Source organism: Homo sapiens, chromosome 4 (assembly GCF_000001405.40).
Source record: "Homo sapiens chromosome 4, GRCh38.p14 Primary Assembly".
In the NCBI taxonomy this organism is placed as follows: domain Eukaryota; kingdom Metazoa; phylum Chordata; class Mammalia; order Primates; family Hominidae; genus Homo; species Homo sapiens.
The window spans coordinates 42673093-42691704 of NC_000004.12; the positions used below are offsets into that span (position 1 = coordinate 42673093).

Genomic DNA, 18612 nt, shown 5'->3' on the forward strand with positions numbered 1-18612 from the left:
AAACACTGAGAAGTTTTAAAAGCCCTGACAAATGCCAGTAAAATCTATCAAGCAAGGTCAAGGAAACTACTTCCTCTCATCCAGTCATAGGTATCCAGGCAGTTTGCTCAGGCACCTAGAGTGCCACTCAAAGCAAGGCAGTCTGCCGCGCTTGAGCTCTGTTCTTATTTCCCCATAGTACATTCAACTGCCTGAGCATCTGACTCAGACATAGCAGAGATATTGCTGCTGCCAGAGGGTAATAGTTTGTCCTGTTATCCTGGAATGCCCTTGCACTGAGAAAATGAGAAACTGGGCAACTCAATGAATTTCCCATCCTGTGGATTTCTCACTGGCTCTCCCTGGCTCTATTTCTTCTTCCATTTTAGAGGGAATAGTCATCCTGCTTTTCAGGCTACCACCTTTTCTTTGGAATCAGTTGGATGCATTTAATGCATATGGAAGAGATGCTGAGAGGGCATGTAGTAGAAATAAGAATAAAATATTTCATTTTTTTCTGATTTCTTGGAGAATGAAATGTTCCATGTAAGTGTATTTTTCTAGACAATTGAAATCTATGCCTTAAATGTCAAAACTTGTTTTTAACTTTGAGAAATGATGTAGCACAGTGGTTAAGCACACAGACTTTGAGGCAAATTGTCTGTATTTAATCACTCTCTACCTTCGTAACTTCAGGCACTTAGCCCCTTGTGCCTCAATTTCCTCATCTGTGGAGTGAAGATAATAATAGACCTTATCTTACAGGGTTATGGAGAGGATTAAATAGTATTAAATGAGTTATTATATGTAAACATTTAAAACAATGTCAAATATATAGTAAGCATATAGAAGTTATTATTATTAATTTATCCATTCATATACAAATCTTACCCTGAAATGGTACCCATCTTCTTGTTATCTTTTATAGAGTATATTGAACATTGACTACTCAGTGCCTTCATACTCAGGGAAAGAATATAGTCATGCCTTCAGAGAGTCCTAAGATGATGCCGACGATGAAACAATAGCTAACATGGTTTCATGAATGTTCTTGGTTAATCCCTGCAAAAAACCTCTAGGATAGGCACACTAATAAATAGACTTAGAAGGTGTAAGTACTTGCCTGACTTCACATAGCTAGAACCGGATGTGAGATACAAACTCAGGGCTGTCTTACTTCAACGCTGGTAGTCTTGGTCACCTTACCACACTGCCTTGTGGTCAGGACTCCTCATCCCCACAATGGTTTCCAAACTTGAGTATCCCACAGGATCAACAGGAGGGCTTGTTAGAGCATAGATTTCTGGATTCCACCCCAGAAGCTCGGATTCAGTAGTTTTGGGGTGAAGGTTGAGAATTTGCATTCTAAGTTGCCAGGTGATGCTAACGCTGCTGGTCCACAGGAACCACACTTTGAGAACCAATATTTTCACTAAATGACTCCAGACAATATTTAATACCAATTATTTTTTATTTTCTCTTTACTATCAGTTGCCACTTGAAGCTATCAATGTATTCTTTTGCTTTTAAACACTATTCTACGCACATCTAGCCATTTAAAAACTCTCTATAACCTACCTCCTGTGGTATTTGTGGATTTTATGACAGCAGTTGCTGTTTAAGAGGCTGCTTTCAATCACTAATCAGTTCCCTCGTGCACTTGGCTCATGAACGCCACGAGGACTTTGACTTCTTTTCTTAAACATTGCTTCTTTTAATTTTAATGTATAAAGTATCGAGTGACTAAGATTCATGAATTTAAATATCTATCATATGCCATTTTTTCCCCTTCCCAATGTTGAGGACTTTATGCCCATTGTTATAGTAAACTAAATATGGCCTGAGAAGGACTCTGTAATTCTATATTTGAATTCTTGTGAATGGACTGTAACCTAGCTTAATAGTCAGACAAAATTGAAACTCTAACTTAATAGTATGCACCTGTAACAATGGCTGAGTGTTGGCCAATCCCAGCGGCCATACTTCAACCACTCACAGAGGTTGAATGTTCAAACTGCGTCCAAATAAGGCAAATGTCAAGCCATAAGCAATCTCACTGTTTCTGTACCTCACTTCCTATTCCTGTAAGTCACTGTACCTTTTTTTGTTCATAAATTTGTTCCAACTATGAGGCACCCCTGGAGTCTCTGTGAATCTGCTGTGATTCTGGGGGCTGCCCAATTTGTGAATCGTTTACTGCTCAATTCAACTCCTTTAAATTTAATTCAGCTGAAGTTTTTCTTTTATCAGATGGTGTCAGAAGCGGGATCTGAAGTGCAGCTTCTAGCATCCCCCAGCAGTGCTGAATGAACACTCAAGGTACCTGCAGGACCCACTTGTGTCCATTGATCTCTCAGAGCCACTGGGGATCATGGGTAAGCTCGCTCTCCGATTTCAGGGCTCCACGGATTTGTGTTTTGAGCTCTCTGAGTTTCTTTGAGCAAATTTCTGATCCAAACTGGGTTTGGAGTTGTGACAGAAACTGGACTGGGTCTGGGAACAGATTTGATCCAGGAATTAACTGGCTTGGATCCAGTTAGAGGCCTCTTACATCTGACTGGGTCAGAAAGGAACTGGTAGTAAGCTGTAATATTGCAGGGGTTATAAACTTTGGCTTTTGAAAATTCACAGGGATTTTTGTGTTCCACCCCTTTATTTAATTTTTCTTGTGCACTTAGGTAGGAAAAAAAATCACTGGCTAAGTTAATCAAGAGAATCTGAGAGTAAAGCCAATATTGTAGGTAAAAATGGGATCCTTAATTTCTGGAAAACTGAGTTTCTCCTGGTTTATGCTTTAGGCCTGGGAGGCAGCGAAGTCTTACAGAAATGGCAGAATCTTACTAAAGATAACTTACAGTGGAATGTTCTGAATGAACAACAATGCATTGAAGTACATTTAAAAATGAAGGCTCTTGGTGAAGTCCCTTTTGGCTAAGAATGAATTTGGCACTACAGGAGGTCAACTGCTATTGTCTTTGGAATAATCTGCCTTGCACTCTTTGCTGATGGCTGTGGGTGACAGGATTAGGCATGTACAGGATTGTGGGACATGGGGAGCTTTTTCCCTCCTAAAAGGGGAAACTTGAGAGCTGATGAGACTGCTGGAAAAGATTCCCTTTCTACTGAGAAGCAGCTGCCTGAACTTTTCCATGTGGCTGCAATGGGTGGGTCTTTCTCTGGCCTCCCTGATCATTTCGCCTTCCCCACCCTGCCACAGGCAATGCTTTTCTCTCTCTCCTTTCCCTTATCTTTTCTATTACTCAAGGCGACCATCTTGCCCAGAGACCACATGTTGAAACTCCTGGCCGGAGGTTGGATTAATGATGATGGGACCCAAACAGAGACAAATTGGAGTCTTGCCAATTTGATATTGAGTGCTAAGCAGAGTGGCTAATGTCTGTGTTTTGTCACACGTATTTTACTCTGGCCAGAACGAAAAAAAATAATTTTCCTTTATGATGTGTCTTGGCCCCCAACGCGATGTTGCAGGAAGCTGAGTCACTAGAGCCACTCAGGGAAAGGGAACCCAGAAGCCTGGCATCCCAGCAAAAAGATAAGAATTTCTTACCAGTCAGATTTTGGGCTTCTCTCTCTCTGTGCAAATGGTTGAATGAATGGTAAAAATCACTGTTTATCTCCATCTTGCTTTATGTCCTTGAGAGCTTAACCTTGTAACCACACTTTCTCTTGGTCTCCGTCTTCCAGGGAACAGGAATTTTAGGGTTTATGGCATAGTTATCTCTAAAAATTATCTTGAGTAGTTAAAAGCCTTTGCAAGCTCAAAATTAGCTACTCTGGATTCCTTCTGGGGAAGGGAGTGGAGACTGCTCTGTGCTGTAGCTCAGTAGCTGAGGTTTTGCCCTTTCATAGCAGTGGTCCAGGTTCGTATTCCATGCTTACAAAGCAAGTTCTTTTTTGTTTAATATCTGCATGACCTTGTCTAGTCTCTTCTCCTTTATGTATTATCTTAAATTTTCCTTTCTCTGAGCATCTGGGAATTTACCTTTGGTAAAGTTCAAAAGCTGGAAATGGCCGTTTGGCCTGGCTAAAATCAAGTAATAAAAAAATTTTAAGGGACTTTATTAAAGAGTGCTATGGTTAAAAGTCAGCTTAATTAAAAGATATTCAAGCTTTAACAGCCTGGACTCCTTGGGAAAAATGGGAGGCAACAGAAACCCCTTTCCTGGCCCTGTTCTTCCAAGGGCTCCACTCTAAAGCCAATAACCGATTAAGAAACAGAAAAACTGGCAAATGAAAAATCTTACAACTACTGTAGTAATCTCCTTCTGTCTAATTGTATATGTGTTGTGTGTAATGTTTATGTAAAAGAGCTCTAATTAACTGGCTTAAACAAAAGTGCACAAAATCTAATATTTTGAAAGCAAAATAAAAACTATAATGCCTTTTAGTTCATGTAACTTTAGTAATCTTTGGGAAATAAAAAAAGCTTTTAAGATTATTAATAAAATAAAGATATTTTGTCTAAATTATGCAGGTCAGATATTAGGTTTGCTAAATGCTTTAAGATCATAAACTGCTTTGACTTTTGAAAATTGTTCAATTTATTTTGGAGATATTAAATTCTAAATAAAGCCTGGGGATATATGGAATTAGCCATGCCCCCTAGCTATGCAAAGAAAGTTATAAAGAAAAGAGATTTTATATAAGAAAGGATGTTGTATGGTAAATTCTTGTCCTAAAGTAAAATGATTGGTCTTTAGAAAGAGGAATGTTTAGGGCAAGTCAGGAAGTCTAAACATGTCATATATGGTCTGCATAAGTCGTGAAAGAATTTATAAAAAGAGATTTATTCCAGAAATGTGCAATTTAAAGGTGATTAGGCCTAAATTCTTCATAGAATGCCACTATGACTGTTAAATGTACAGCTTGTCTGCTTTACAGCTAGGTAGGCCCTGGAACACGTGGAGTTAGATGCTGGAAAGAATCAGACCTTATCTGCATTTCTGTCTGGGTTCTGGGCTCCACACCTAGTACATAATTAAAATCCCTTACTTAACAAGGTTTTCATCAAAAGTTAAAGTCTCTAAGAGTTAACACTGTAATATGTAATTGACACTGCTGAAAAATAAGTTTACATACACGGTGTGTAAAGAGAATAAAATGTGTTTTTGTAAGAGATTATAAGAAGGTATAGGAATGTAAATTTTTGCCTACATTAGCGGGTTAAAGGATTGTTTTAAATTAAATAAAGCTAAATGTTTGAAAAAGTTGTGGAAGGTTTATTAAAAAAATTGTAAAAGGTTCTATGCGTGAACATATTGGCTAAAGTCAAAATGGCATTATTCAGTTTTTTCTATGAATTGGACATTGGAATCAAAGCACAACAGAGTTTTCTTAGACTATTGTTCTGCTCTGAGAAAAAAAATTGTAAAGGGTTATAAAAGGTTTATAAAAATCTTACCTTATGGTCAAACTAATTAAAACTGAATAGATTTGTAAAATATTACTTAAAACTAGCTTTAACATTAAAAATATACTAATGGAAACATAAAATTTGGTTTTCTCTTTTAAAAAGGATTTTTATGTGATATTAAAAGATTATGAAAGGTTTTGGTTTACCTTTTAAGTAAACTACAAAAGAAAAAGAGAGGAAGTGAAAGAAAGGAGACAGAGTCAGTTGGCTTCCTGCTATCTCCACTGGGTCTTATTTAGAAAGCTGAGTCTACTCTCTATCAGAATAATGTTTTTTCCTTTAAAAAATTTTTGAGTTATCATTTTGGCTAAATGGATGACTTATGGTAACCTAAGATTCTATTTTGTAATATCCAATGTTTTAAATCTTTAGTATTTAATAAACGATTCAAAATCAAGCTCTAGATTATCATGCTAAATCAGCCAATACTAAAATTGTTTAAATATACAATTTGAATAAACTCCATGGTCTAAGTCAAATTACCTCTGATAACATGTAAGTTATCAGTGCTATGCACCTAAATTGGAGGAACAACTAGTATTCAAGAGGACATAAGTCCAATGTTAAGCATGGACTCATGAAGAACCAGGACAGCCATCTTGTCCTTCCTGAGTCCTTAAAGCTTTTGTTATTAAAGGCTCTGCATTCCATGACTCAGCATGGAAAATATAAAATAATCCAAATAGAATATATTGATGTGGTGACTCATAAATTTGGAGCTAGTTTAAAACCAATATTTGGTTCCATTTTCCTGGGAAGACAATCAAAGCTTCAGGTACGTTTGTCTACCTGATGGGCCATTTAAACATTTATAAAGGGATTTCATTCAATTATCATTTTCAATGCATGTTTTCTGGTAGCATAACAGCTTTCCCATGCAAGAGGGCTGTTGTTATAACAGTAGATTATTATACTACAGTGTATTTTTACCAGGTAAAGAGAGCTTTTTATGTTTCACTGAGGGCAATCCCTTCACAAGCTAGAGCCCTAAGATTGGATCTTCTGAGAACATTAGAGAAAGACTGTCCTTCCCAACCACACTTCAGCAAAACTTTGGAGACTTGAGCTTTGGGTTCATAATCTCACAACTGAGAAGGGTCCCTCCACCCTCCTGGAACTGTACACCCATTGGAACTTTTAAGGTAAAACTAACCAGGAAAGTTTCTCCCCAGAAGAAGATGACATCCTTGATTCAAACAGCTTTTCCCAAGTTTACAGATCATGACTTCTACTATCACAAGACTCTTATCTTTAAATATTTTTTCCTTATTTATGCTTCTATGAACAATAGGAATGAAAAGGGGTCTATTGTGTGCACTTATAGGGTATAGTTTTATTTGTGAAGGATTTTGCAGTCAGCCTTATACATGAATAAACTTATACTTTAATAGATAAAAGATGAAGGTGAAGTGTAGGTGAGAAACTTTGGTGGTAAATATGTTGCCTCATAATCACTCAAAACTCCTCTTTGGGGATTAAAGAGACCATTGCCAGGAGGCCTTCACTCTTCTAGCAGGACATCATTTTTTGGGTCCTTTTTCCATGGTTTAGAATAAAAGGCAATAATTAGAATTGTCACCCTCATAATAGGCTCTACAGCAAATTCTGCTTTAAAAGCTATCGTTACACACAGACTTTAAATTCTCTTGTGGAAGTTATACTAAGTTAATAGATGTGGCTAAACAGAAAAGTACCTGTGCAGCTGCTGACACTTGTGGCCTATGGAGAAATACATCAAATGTAGATTATTAAAATTCAGTTGTAGGGTATTAATGAAAAGACCACTTAGTCAAGTGAGTAGACTCTTCATCCAGCTCATTATTAAATGTATTTAATTTTACACGGTTTGGTTTATGGGGACCTTGGGTAAGGACCATACTCCAAACTCTTGGTATTATCCTCCCAATAGTCATAATAATATTCTCCCTGGTACACTGTATTCTCTCAAAGGTTTTAAATGTTTGCATGCAGCCATCTCTAGAACATCAAGTGATCTCTCTTCAACTGGAATGACAAAAGCTGAAAGAAATGTGCAACCATGAGGACACCGTAACCTATGAATGACATGCTGAGATCAAAAACCCAAAATGATGATAACTGAGAGTGGTGCTAAGGCCCTAAGTATTGGTTACACTCTCACTAAAGTGAAACCTGGCCAAAAAGTGGAATTTTTTTTAAACAAAATTATGGGAGGCCATTATTTTGGACTGAGCTCATGCACTAGGCCCCAACAAACTGAACCAAACTAAAATGGAGTCACTCATGCTAAATGTGACACAATCAAACTAAGGCTTTAAGAAAACACAGATCCTAGAACAGATCAGGTTTTGTTTTTCTCCTGTAAACAGGATGTTCCAGCATAAGGAAGTACCCTCTATTCAGTCCTTGGTGCCTCCTTGCAAAACCCACTGTTCTATTGTTTTTCAGTGGGTTTCAAAATCAAATAAGTACATTTACAAAAGAGATAGTAACATCAGTGACTAAGATTTTGGCCAATCTCTCAAAATTGAGAAAATGTCTAAAAGGGGGAATTGTTAAAGCCAACTAAATATGGCCTGAGAAGGACTCCATACTTCTATATTTGAATCCTTGTGGATGAACTGTAACCTAGCTTAATAGTGAGACAAAATTGAAAATCTAACGTAATAGTATGCACCTATAACAGTGGCTGAGTGTTGGCCAATCCCAGCGGCCATACTTCAACTACTCATAGAGGCTGAATGTTCAAACTACGTTCAAAAAAGGCAAAAGTCGAGCTGTAACCAATCTCACTGTTTCTGTACCTCACTTCTGATTCCTGTATGTCACTTTACCTTTTTTGTCTATGAGTTTATTCTGACCACGAGATACCCCTGGAGTCTCTGGGAATCTGCTGTGGTTCTGGGGGCTGCCCGATTCACAAATCATTCATTGCTCAATTAAACTCTTATAAATTTAATTCAGCTGAAGTTTTTCTTTTATCACCATCAAAGATTATTCTACAATAGATCATAGGAAAATCTAGCAGACCACTCTGACTTGGCTGTTTAGTCTCCTCAACTCAGGAATATAGTTCCAAGGACCTGGTGTTGTGTATCCGCTTTCTTATTTTCTATCTATTTATTCAAATCTAGTCTTGTCTTTTGTCAACATAGTTCTAAAATCCTGTATAAGCCATGAGGTGGTCACAGAATTAGGTCTAGAAAGATTTTGAGGAGAGGTAGAACTTTTTTTCTCTTCTGGTAACAGGGTAGATCCTTGATTCCTGAACTGCTGCTTCTTAGATTAACAGTATATGAGTCAGGAAGCTCATGATTCTGGCCTTTTCTGATGTGATCAATTCCCCACTCTATTAAATTACAGATAACTTTGAGTACACTTCTGTGAGAAACTGGACTGTCATGGAGAGCTATATTGACTCACTTGTTTCTTTGATCTCAGGTTGATCTGTTGCATTGCTTTCTTGGCTGTTCAGTAGTAAATGGAAATAAACAAAACCTTAAACATAGCCCAAGTCATCACTGTAGACAAAACTTTAGGTCAATTCTCATGCCCTCACATTTAGTTTCCTATTCTAAACTTACATTTTTTTTCAATATTGCTACATAGTTTTACATAGGCACCTTCTACCTTATCCAATGGCAGTCATCTTCCAAGCCTACTCTGTACCTGTCTTTGGGCTTTGTGTTGCAAGAGAAATATAAAAAATCTTTCTTTAAACCTCTGCAAGTTGGATTTTCTATTACTTCTAACAGAATACATTCCTTAGTTGATTCACTCATACAATCAGAATCCTGGAAGATAGGACTATTCCAGAAGTGGCTAATTCAGTTCAACAAAGTCAACAGAAATTCAACAAAGTTGAATTCAACAAAGTCATCAGAAATTGAGGTTCAACAAAGTCATCAGAAATTGAGGGTCTTGCCATTTTTCTACTTCATAGTTGCTTGATGCTTGTGGCAGCTTCAGACATCATATCCTTTCATACTAATGTGAAGAGAGAGGGAAAATAAAGAAATGTTTCCGTCCTGGTCTTTTTTGAGAGAAGAAAAATGTTTTGAAGTTCCTCAGCCTACTTCTTATGTCTCATCAGACAGAATTTGGTCAGTGTCCACACCAAACTAAATGTTTGCCAAGGGGGATAAATAACCATGGCTGGCTCTGGCCAATCAGGAGTCACTGCTGGGGATGGAGATGGGTCCTGTCTTCCCAGAAGGAAATATTAGGTTGGTGCAAAAGTAATTGTGGTTTTGTAACTGCCCAGTGAGATCACCTTGACCACGGCCTAGGCAGAGCCGATTTGTCAAGACAAGGGAATTGCAATGGTGAAAGAATAATTCACGCAAAGCCAGCTGTGCGGGAGACTGGAGTTTTATTATTACTCAAATCAGTCTATACGAGCATTCGGACATTAGAGTCTTTAGGGATAATTTGGTGGGTATGGGCTCCAAAAGTGGGAAGTGCTGATTGGTCAGGTTGAAGATAAAATCATAGGGGATCGAAGTAAGTTCCTCTTGCTGACTTTGGGGTGGGATCACAGAACTGGTTGAGCCAGATTCACAGTCTGAGTGGTGTCATCTGCTGCAGGGTCTGCAAAATATTTCAAGCACTGATCTTAGGTTTTACAACAGTGATTTTAGTCCCAGGAGCAACTTGGGGAGGTTCAGACTCTTTCAGTCAGAGGCTGCATAGCCCCTAAACCATGATACCTAATCTTGTAGCTGATTTGTTAGTCCTACAAAGGCAGACTGGTCCCCAGGGAAGAAGGGGTTTTTCAGGAAATGGCTATTATCCATTTTGTTTCAGAGTTTAAACTATAAGCTAAATTCCTTCCCATGGCCAGTTCAGCCTACACCCACGAATGAACAAGGACGGTTTAGAGGTTCGAAGGAAGATGGGGTCGGTTAGGTCTGATCTCTCTCCCTGACATAATTTCCTCAGTTATGATTTTTTTCAAAAGTGGTTTGTTTTTGCCTTTTTTTAATTGCAAAGACCTCAATTACTTTTGCACCAATGTAATAGCTACTTGGAGGCCAATTAACAAAATCAAGTTTCTGTTAGAAGGAAGAGGTGGGGAAATGGATAAAGGCTGTTGGCATAGCAACTGACAGTGTCTAGTGGTGAAATACTGCTGGCTTCTTTGACCTGAGTCACTTTCATGGGTTCTTACACCACTTAGGAGAGAAAGTTCCTCAGTGATATATTGGATATTCTGGTAATTTGACATGTGGAAACTTAAACTAATTTTTATTTGGGAAAGTTAATTAAATTGGTAAATGAATGTTATGTAACTTTATAGAATGGTGCAGGATGATGAACCCCAGCCTAACACAAATAAAGCTAGAGTTAGAAAAGTTATTTTATTTTAAAAAATAATCATTAAGGATTTGTCACGAAACAGTCCTTGCAGAAGACTTACTTTCACTTTACCTTTTGAATAACCTTATCTTTTTGGAGAATAATTGCATTCTAGGGCAGATGCCTTAATATAAATATCTGAAAAATGAGAGGCCACCTAGAAATGAGAAGAAAGTTGAATGATATGACATCCTAGCCATTGTTTGTTTTTAAGGTGAAGATGTGAAGTGGCTCTTAATTAAATTTTGCAGAGTTTTGCTGAGAAATTTTATCTCTGCCCTCAGATTTATTCCCAGCTTCAGTGGTTTGTAAGGATGACTGAAGAGCCTGGTCACCTCAGAGCTGTGAGGGCTGGGCTCAGAAGAACACAAAGAAGGACCCCAGTGATTTATGATTAGAAGAGTATTTTTTAAATATTTACAAATGAATAGAACTAGATAACTATAACATGAATAAATAAGGTAGGCCTAGCTGAGCAAAATTATGAGACAGACTGTAATAAACAATGTGTGTTTATTTCGGAAAGATCAACTTGAAAAGGTGGGCATGTTGAGTCTAGCTATCACTCAAGGTAGAATTAACAATAGTCACTTTTTGCTTTATAAAGATATTAAGTTGTCCGATTCTTAGTGGTTCCTGGTAGCAGTTTATATAAATTCCTTAAAGATCTGCATCGGCATATTTATTATAGGAGATGCCCTTTCCCACTAGAATGTACCTATGGGATTTAGGGATGTTTTATCCATTTCAAAAATCATTTTCTTATCCTTCAGTTCTTATCCCTTAGATATAGAATCATGTCCTCTGCAAACAGGGATAGTTTGACTTCTGTTCTTCCTATTTGGATACCATTTATTTCTTTCTTTTGGCTTATTGCTCTGGCCAGGACTTCCAATTACTCTGTTGAATAGGAGTGGTGAGAGAGGGCATCCTTGTCTTGTGTCAGTTTTCAAGGGCAATGCTTCCAGCTTTTTCTCATTTAGTATGTTGTTGTCTGTGGGTTTGTCATATATGGCTCTTATTATTTTGAGGTATGTTCCTTCAATACCTAGTTTATTGAGGGGGTTGAACATGAGGAGATGTTGAATATTATTGAAAGCCTTTCTGCATCTATTGAGATGATCCATGTCATTTTTCTTTAGTTCTATTTATATGATGAATCACATGTATTGATTTGCATATTTTGAAACAACCTTGTCCCCCAGGGATAAAGCCTACTCAATTGCGGTGGGTTAGCCTTTTGATGTGCTGCTGGATTCAGTTTGCAAGTATTCTGTTGAGGATTTTTGCATCAATGTTCATCAAGGATATTGGCCTGAAATCTTCTTTTTTTCTTTTGTCTCCGCCAAGTTTTAGTATCAGGATGATGCTGAGCTCATAGAATGGGTTAGGAAGGAATGCCTCCATCTCAATTTTTTGGAATAGTTTCAGTAGAAATGGTACCAACTCTTCTTTGTACATCTGGTATAACTCAGCTGTAAATTCATCTGGTCCTGGACATTTTTTGGTTGGTAGACTATTACTAATTCAACTTCCAGAGATGGTTATTGATCTGTTCAGGGAATCAATTTCCTCCTGGTTCAGTCTTGGGAGGGTGTCTGTGTCCAGCAATTTATCCATCTCTTCTAGGTTTTCTAGTTTGTGCTCATAGAGGTTTTTGTAGTAGCCTCTGATAGTTATTTTTATTTCTGTGGTCTCAGTGGTAACATCCCCTTTGTTGTTTCTGATTGTGTTTATTTGGATCTTCTCTCCTTTCTCCTATTAATCTAGCTAGCAGCCTATCTTATTAAAAAACCAACTCCTGGATTCATTGACCTTTTGAATTTTTTGTTTGTGTGTGTGTCCTGATATCCTTCAGTTTATCTCTGATTTTGATTATTTCTTGTCTTCCGCTATATCTTGTTTAATTGTTATGTGAGCTGCATGCACCTAGGAATATAATCTGTGGTGTTGGTTCTATTTTCTTTTACTAGTTATACAATTTCACTTTAGACAAGCTTATAACCATTTTGTCTGTGAATTTTTTCATTAGAAGACATGTAATTGCAATATTGTTTTCAAAATGAATAACTAATATCATTGCATTGCTTTATTAATGCTATGCACACTTTGGCTTTAAAAAATCATTTCTTCATATATTATTGCACTTACAAATATAGCTTTAGTTGAATCATTGACTATTAAACACCAAGTGATCAAGTGTTGTCAATTAAAAAGGCCCTTAAATCAAAGCAGCCTTTCCTCTACCTTCCCTTTGAAAGAAGCTACGAAAATTAAAGGACATGCAATGTACTTCTATCCAATATGAAAGTAATAGATCTCTGGAAAATTATTTTAATAGTCTATAGAGAGAGTCTTATTAAGATCAAGATCAAAGCAGCTTCATGGCTGCCTTAGAATATGTATCAGTACACTTTGCTGCTGAGTGAAAAAAGTGAGTTATAACAACAGCATGTAGAGGCAACACCATTTTGTTTTGTTTTTAAAAATGCTTCCACATATGTAAAAATTATGCATAGAAAGACCATTATGAAATACATTAAAATGAACCTTTTTAAAGTGGAAAAAAAGAGATATATGTCAGTAACAAGCATCAGTTTTATTTTTCTGTGTCTGTATAGACATAAATTCTAGAAGTTTCCATGTATTTTGTTGTAAGGCTACCTAGAATACACACCAATAATTAGACCGAACAAAGACACAGTTTACACAACTGAATATTGTCAATTTTCAGTGGTAGAAAGTATAACCAAGAATAGAATAGCAAAAATGACAAAACAAAAACATAAATTTTAAATCTTAAAAGTTATGTTTATCAGAGTTATGCTATTCCTTATTATTATATCTGAAGATGAGTACAATATTGGTAGGCAAGAATGTGAGATAGCTTATTATTGTGTTTAGTATTCCCTCGTGTGAAATAATATTGGCATTTACATTCATAGGAGCACTGTAGTTTTTATTTTTGTTAAAACTCAGTAACAAGCACATTTGTAATATGAAAGAGTTGGGTTCATTTCGCTTTACATAAAAGCAACTTCATACGCAGAGCTCATTAATTTATCCTCAAACCATGTATAAATTATTGAACCAGTCTTGTTTTGCTAGATAAGTGGAATATGAAAATGAGATCTCAACAGGCAATATTTATTAATTTCTATGAAGTCTTTATATATTTCTCTTCTACTTCTTAAAGATACAGAGGGAATTCCAGCATTTCTGATTTATTAAGGAATGAGTACAATCCAGTTAACCAAAAACTTTAGAGCAGGAGTTGAATTTTAAGATTTCTTTAATTTGGTTTGCCTTGGATTATCTCATAAGAACATGATTTTTAATTCATTTATATGCTTTCATATGTGGATTCATCCCCTTTGTTCTTTGATTTTGTCTTTTTATTTAAGAAAACATCCTGGTGGGGCGCAGTGGCTCACGCCTGTAATCCCAGCACTTTGGGAGGCAAGGCGGGCAGATCACGAGGTCAGGAGATCGAGACCATCCTGGCCAACATGGTGAAACCCCGTCTGTACTAAAATACAAAAGAAAAAAAAAAAAGAAAAGGAAAAAAATTAGCTGGGCCTGGTGGCATGCACCTGTATGTAGTCCCAGCTACTTGGGAGGCTGAGGCAGGAGAATCGCTTGAACTCGGGAGCAAAGGTTGCAGTGAGCCGAGATCACACCACTGTACTCCAGCCTGGTGACAGAGTGAAACTCTGTCTCAAATTAAAAAAAAAAAAAAGAGGAGAAAAGAAGACATCCTTCATGAATTACTGATTTCTTAGATTATGTGTTCGTTTGCTCTTTCTCCTGATATTTACAAAGAGGTTTTTTCCAGAAAATGATATTATGAGATTCCTAGAAATAATTGAATTGGCAGATAATTCAGGAAGATGTGAAAAATATATATTAATAACAAGTTGGAAAAATTCAATGTATATAATGACACCAAGCATTAGTGAGGATGTGGGAGAAGATGAAACCATATACATGTTCATTGGAGTGTGAATTGGTTTCACCATTTTGGAGAGCAATTTGGGAGTATCTTGCAAATTAAAAGATGTACACACCTTACCATCTCACTCTTGGATTTCTCTACCCTAGAAAAACCAAGGTACTTTTGCAGAGAGAAATTATTTGAGCAAGTTCGTAACAAGGGAAACAATCCACTTAACAATGAATAAATATATAAATCATGGTTTATTCAGACAATTACAATGCAAGTTTTATAATGAATGATCCAGATCTACATGAATAAACATGATTAAAAAATGCAATGCTGAGTTTTTAAAAAAGTTGAAAGGAATCTTAAAGTATAATACATTCATTTAAATGTTAAACATAGTTTTATTTATGGATGCTACATACATAATAAATGTACAAAACTGTCCATGAAAATAATGCACACCAGCTTTAGAATAATGGTTACCTCTGGGAAGGACGATGGTAGGTTGAAGATATGATGTACCTGTGACATTTCATTTTTAAGAAGACAAAGTGAGCAAATTAAAGCAAAGAAAGCCAAATATTAACATGGGTTTAATCTTAGCATTTTAACAATGTTATACCTACAGGTGTCTTTCACATTATCTTCTGTACTCCTTTATATGTTTAAATGGTTTCATCATGAAAAAGAAAAAAATTCCTAAGTGTTCACTCTGTGAATGGCTGCATCCAACCAAGTGAATGTAATTCCCTTAGTGGGCAGAATTGAAGTAGGGGAATTGAAGAGGCTTTCTCCTAAGCTAGGCATGGAGTAGCTAAAGGAATTAATTTGTCAGTGAATGAACTTTGAAAGTGGCTATTCTCATGTGAACTTAATCTATTCTGATATAGTCTTCTTTAAGAAAGAAAAACTTGAGCAGTTAACTTCTTTAACACTCCTGTATCTGCAGTAATAAAAATAATGATAATATTATATAAGAACTTTATATTCAGGTTCTACTCAATGATTTATATATTTTCTCATCTAATTCTCACAATGTCTCTATGAAGTAGTTGCTATTATAAACCACATTAAAAGATGGGCTAAAGTGCTTTTCCCATTCACATAGCAGAGTTAGTATATTACTGACAAGAGTAACCACGAGAATCATTTACTCTGAGAACAAAAAATTAATAAGTAAATAAAGAAAATATTAGGGAAAATGGGGATGATCCTGTCAACATTCCTTCACTCTCATTTAATAGTGAACTCCGCATTCAGTTGCCATCAGTATAGTTTCAAAATTAAGGAAGATTATGCTTATACACTAACAGACCCTGTATTGTTCCTTTTCAATATTAAATAGAATAATATTTCTTTTTGTTTTAGTGTTAGTAACTTCAAAAATAGTTTTCTAGAATATGAAAACATGGATTTTTATTAATAATCAGCTATTTGAATAGAAAAGTCATGGCTACTTCTTTTTTTATTCTTTGAGACAGAGTCTTCTTCTGTCATCCGGCTGGAGTGCAGTGGCGTAATTTCAGTTCACTGGAATCTCCACCTCTTGGTTCAAGCAATTCTCATGCCTCAGCCTCCGGAGAAACTGGGATTACAGGTGTGCACCACCATGTCTTGTTAATATGGCTACTTCTTAATTTCCTTCCAGCTCATAAAATTTCTGTGTTCACATAGTTAGATTGGTTAGATACTAATTCTACCTTTGAAAAATAATAATCATTTTATAAAGAAATAGAAATTTGCTCATTTGAGCATTTAAAGGATTTTCAAATTGAGAAACTGTGTAGGTAGAGTTTTGATATAATAAAGTCAAAGCAGAAAGATTTCCTAAAATATTCTTCAAGTGTATTTATTTTTCTTGGAAATAAGAAAATCTAATGGGGATGAGATGAAATTTTGCGGTAAGTTGACTAGTTTTCTGAAGTTATTTGAGAATAGGCTTAATTTTTTTAAAGAATTAATTGTAGCTAAATTTATCAAGCCATCAAATGTTCCAATAAGCAATGGTTAATTTCCAGGCATTGAGCTCTGCCTCTTTACAGAAAAGGTCTCATGTAGTCCTGACAACATTTTAAGGTGGGTATTTTTACACTCACTTTACAGATGGGAAAACTGAGGATATGAGAGGTCACATAAAGGGTTCAAGGTTGTACAGCTTGCAAATAGCAGAGTCATGATTCAATCTAGAATAGGGTTTGAATCCATGCTCTCAACTGTGCTGTACTATCTCCCTCAGGCTGTTAAGAAGAACTCTGTGTAAAACCTTCATAACTGATTTCAGGAAAAGCAGGCGAATCTGAGCTCTGAAACCTGCCATCCTGTTTTATGGCAGGTTGAGCACATGCTGCTTCTTGATGAGAAACAGTCACACAGATAGGAATAGTAACCTAAGAGCAAATCAATAAGGGAGTTTGAAAGATGGAGACAGAGTTTAATGGAAAAATGTCTTTGGCTTGGAAGACATGCTAGGGATCTGTAATTTGTTTTTCTTCTTTTTTATCCATAAAAATATTTGAGGAGTAGTATTCCGAATTATTTTCCAGACAGAGAAATTGTAAAAGACTGCCAGAGAGTGAGTGAAGTTGGGTTCAGAATAAAGTGTTTTATTATTACAAAAGCAATATGTGCACATGTTAGAAAGCTAGAAAATATTGATAATCAAAGAAAATAATAGAAACTTAGAAATTTATAACCCTCATTGAGTGGTAAACACCATCATTACCTTGGTGTTCACAACTCTACATACATTCTTTAAGAATCAAATCATGCCATGCAAAAGCTACTTGATTGTAGCTTTTTTAAAGTTTAAAAGCATATATTTTTATTCTTTAAGGCATCAATGGAGCTATAGAAATGTCAATACAATATATGTATATCCTTGATATTTTTGACATTTCCATAAAACTCACTCACCTCAATACAGCATTATTTTCTTCTGTTCTCTATTTAAGATAGTTCATCATAATGATGACCTGACACTTGATGCCAGCTTCTTGGTGCATGTCAGGACTTTCATGAATTGAACAGTAAACGTGACAAATCAGTATCAATCATGATTCTTCTTCCAGGTTGGAAGGCTAAGCCAGGGCCCAAGTTAAAACAGAGTCAACCATAATTTCTGAAAGATAAAAGAGAGCCTACAGGGTATATATTTTACACATGAGGAAAGTGAAGACCCCCCCCAGATAATGTCCAAGGCCACACAACTATTACTAGTTATTGGTGAGAGAGCATGGTGAAATCCACCTGGCCTAACATCTAACCCATTGCTCTTTCATGTGCTGCATACTATCTCCCAGTAAGGATCCCATCTCATGAGATTGGAAGATAGAGTACTGTGTGATCTAGCCTTATTAGAGGCAATGTTTCCAACCTCCAGACTCATGGCCCTGAAGAAATTGGGAACATATCTACAATTATAAAACCCCATAAGGCATAGTAATTGTCTCCATTACACTTTAATAAAAGTCTTTTCTAACATGGGAAGAGCGGAATGCTCATTAGTAGATCTTAGGATTTAGGACAGCCATTGAAGGGGGTTTTTATTTCCTTTGTAAAGTCTGACTGGGCTATGAGGCATGGTGAGAGTTTGAGATAGAGGAATGAAAGCAGACCAGAAGCTGGCCAGAAAATAGCTAAAGATTTAACTTCACCAATAGGCATGTTTCTTTTCCTCATCCCCTCTCTGTCAGTTGTCATTATTATCTTTGCCCATTACTAAGAATTTTACAAAATATAACATATGTCATGCCTATTATAGACATTGAGCTCAGTGCTTTCATATGCATTATGTTATTTAATGTTATGAATCAAATTATGTTATTCACACTGTACAGATTAGCAAACTGAGGCTTGACCTCAGTAATGTTAATACTAACCTTACGTAATTTGGTCAAGGACCTCCAATCCTAGCTGATAA

The 18612-nt window shown here is 36.3% G+C and overlaps 1 long non-coding RNA gene across 1 annotated transcript in view; it reads left to right on the top strand.

The window, feature by feature from the left end:
• The first annotated feature begins 2116 nt into the window (after positions 1-2116).
• The window catches only part of LOC105374430 (uncharacterized), a 29063-nt gene continuing 12567 nt past the window's right edge, over positions 2117-18612 (top strand). The window contains exons 1-2 of the long non-coding RNA XR_925263.3: positions 2117-2354; positions 16175-16290. This is a non-coding gene — a long non-coding RNA (uncharacterized LOC105374430). The remainder of the gene's footprint in view (positions 2355-16174; positions 16291-18612) is intronic.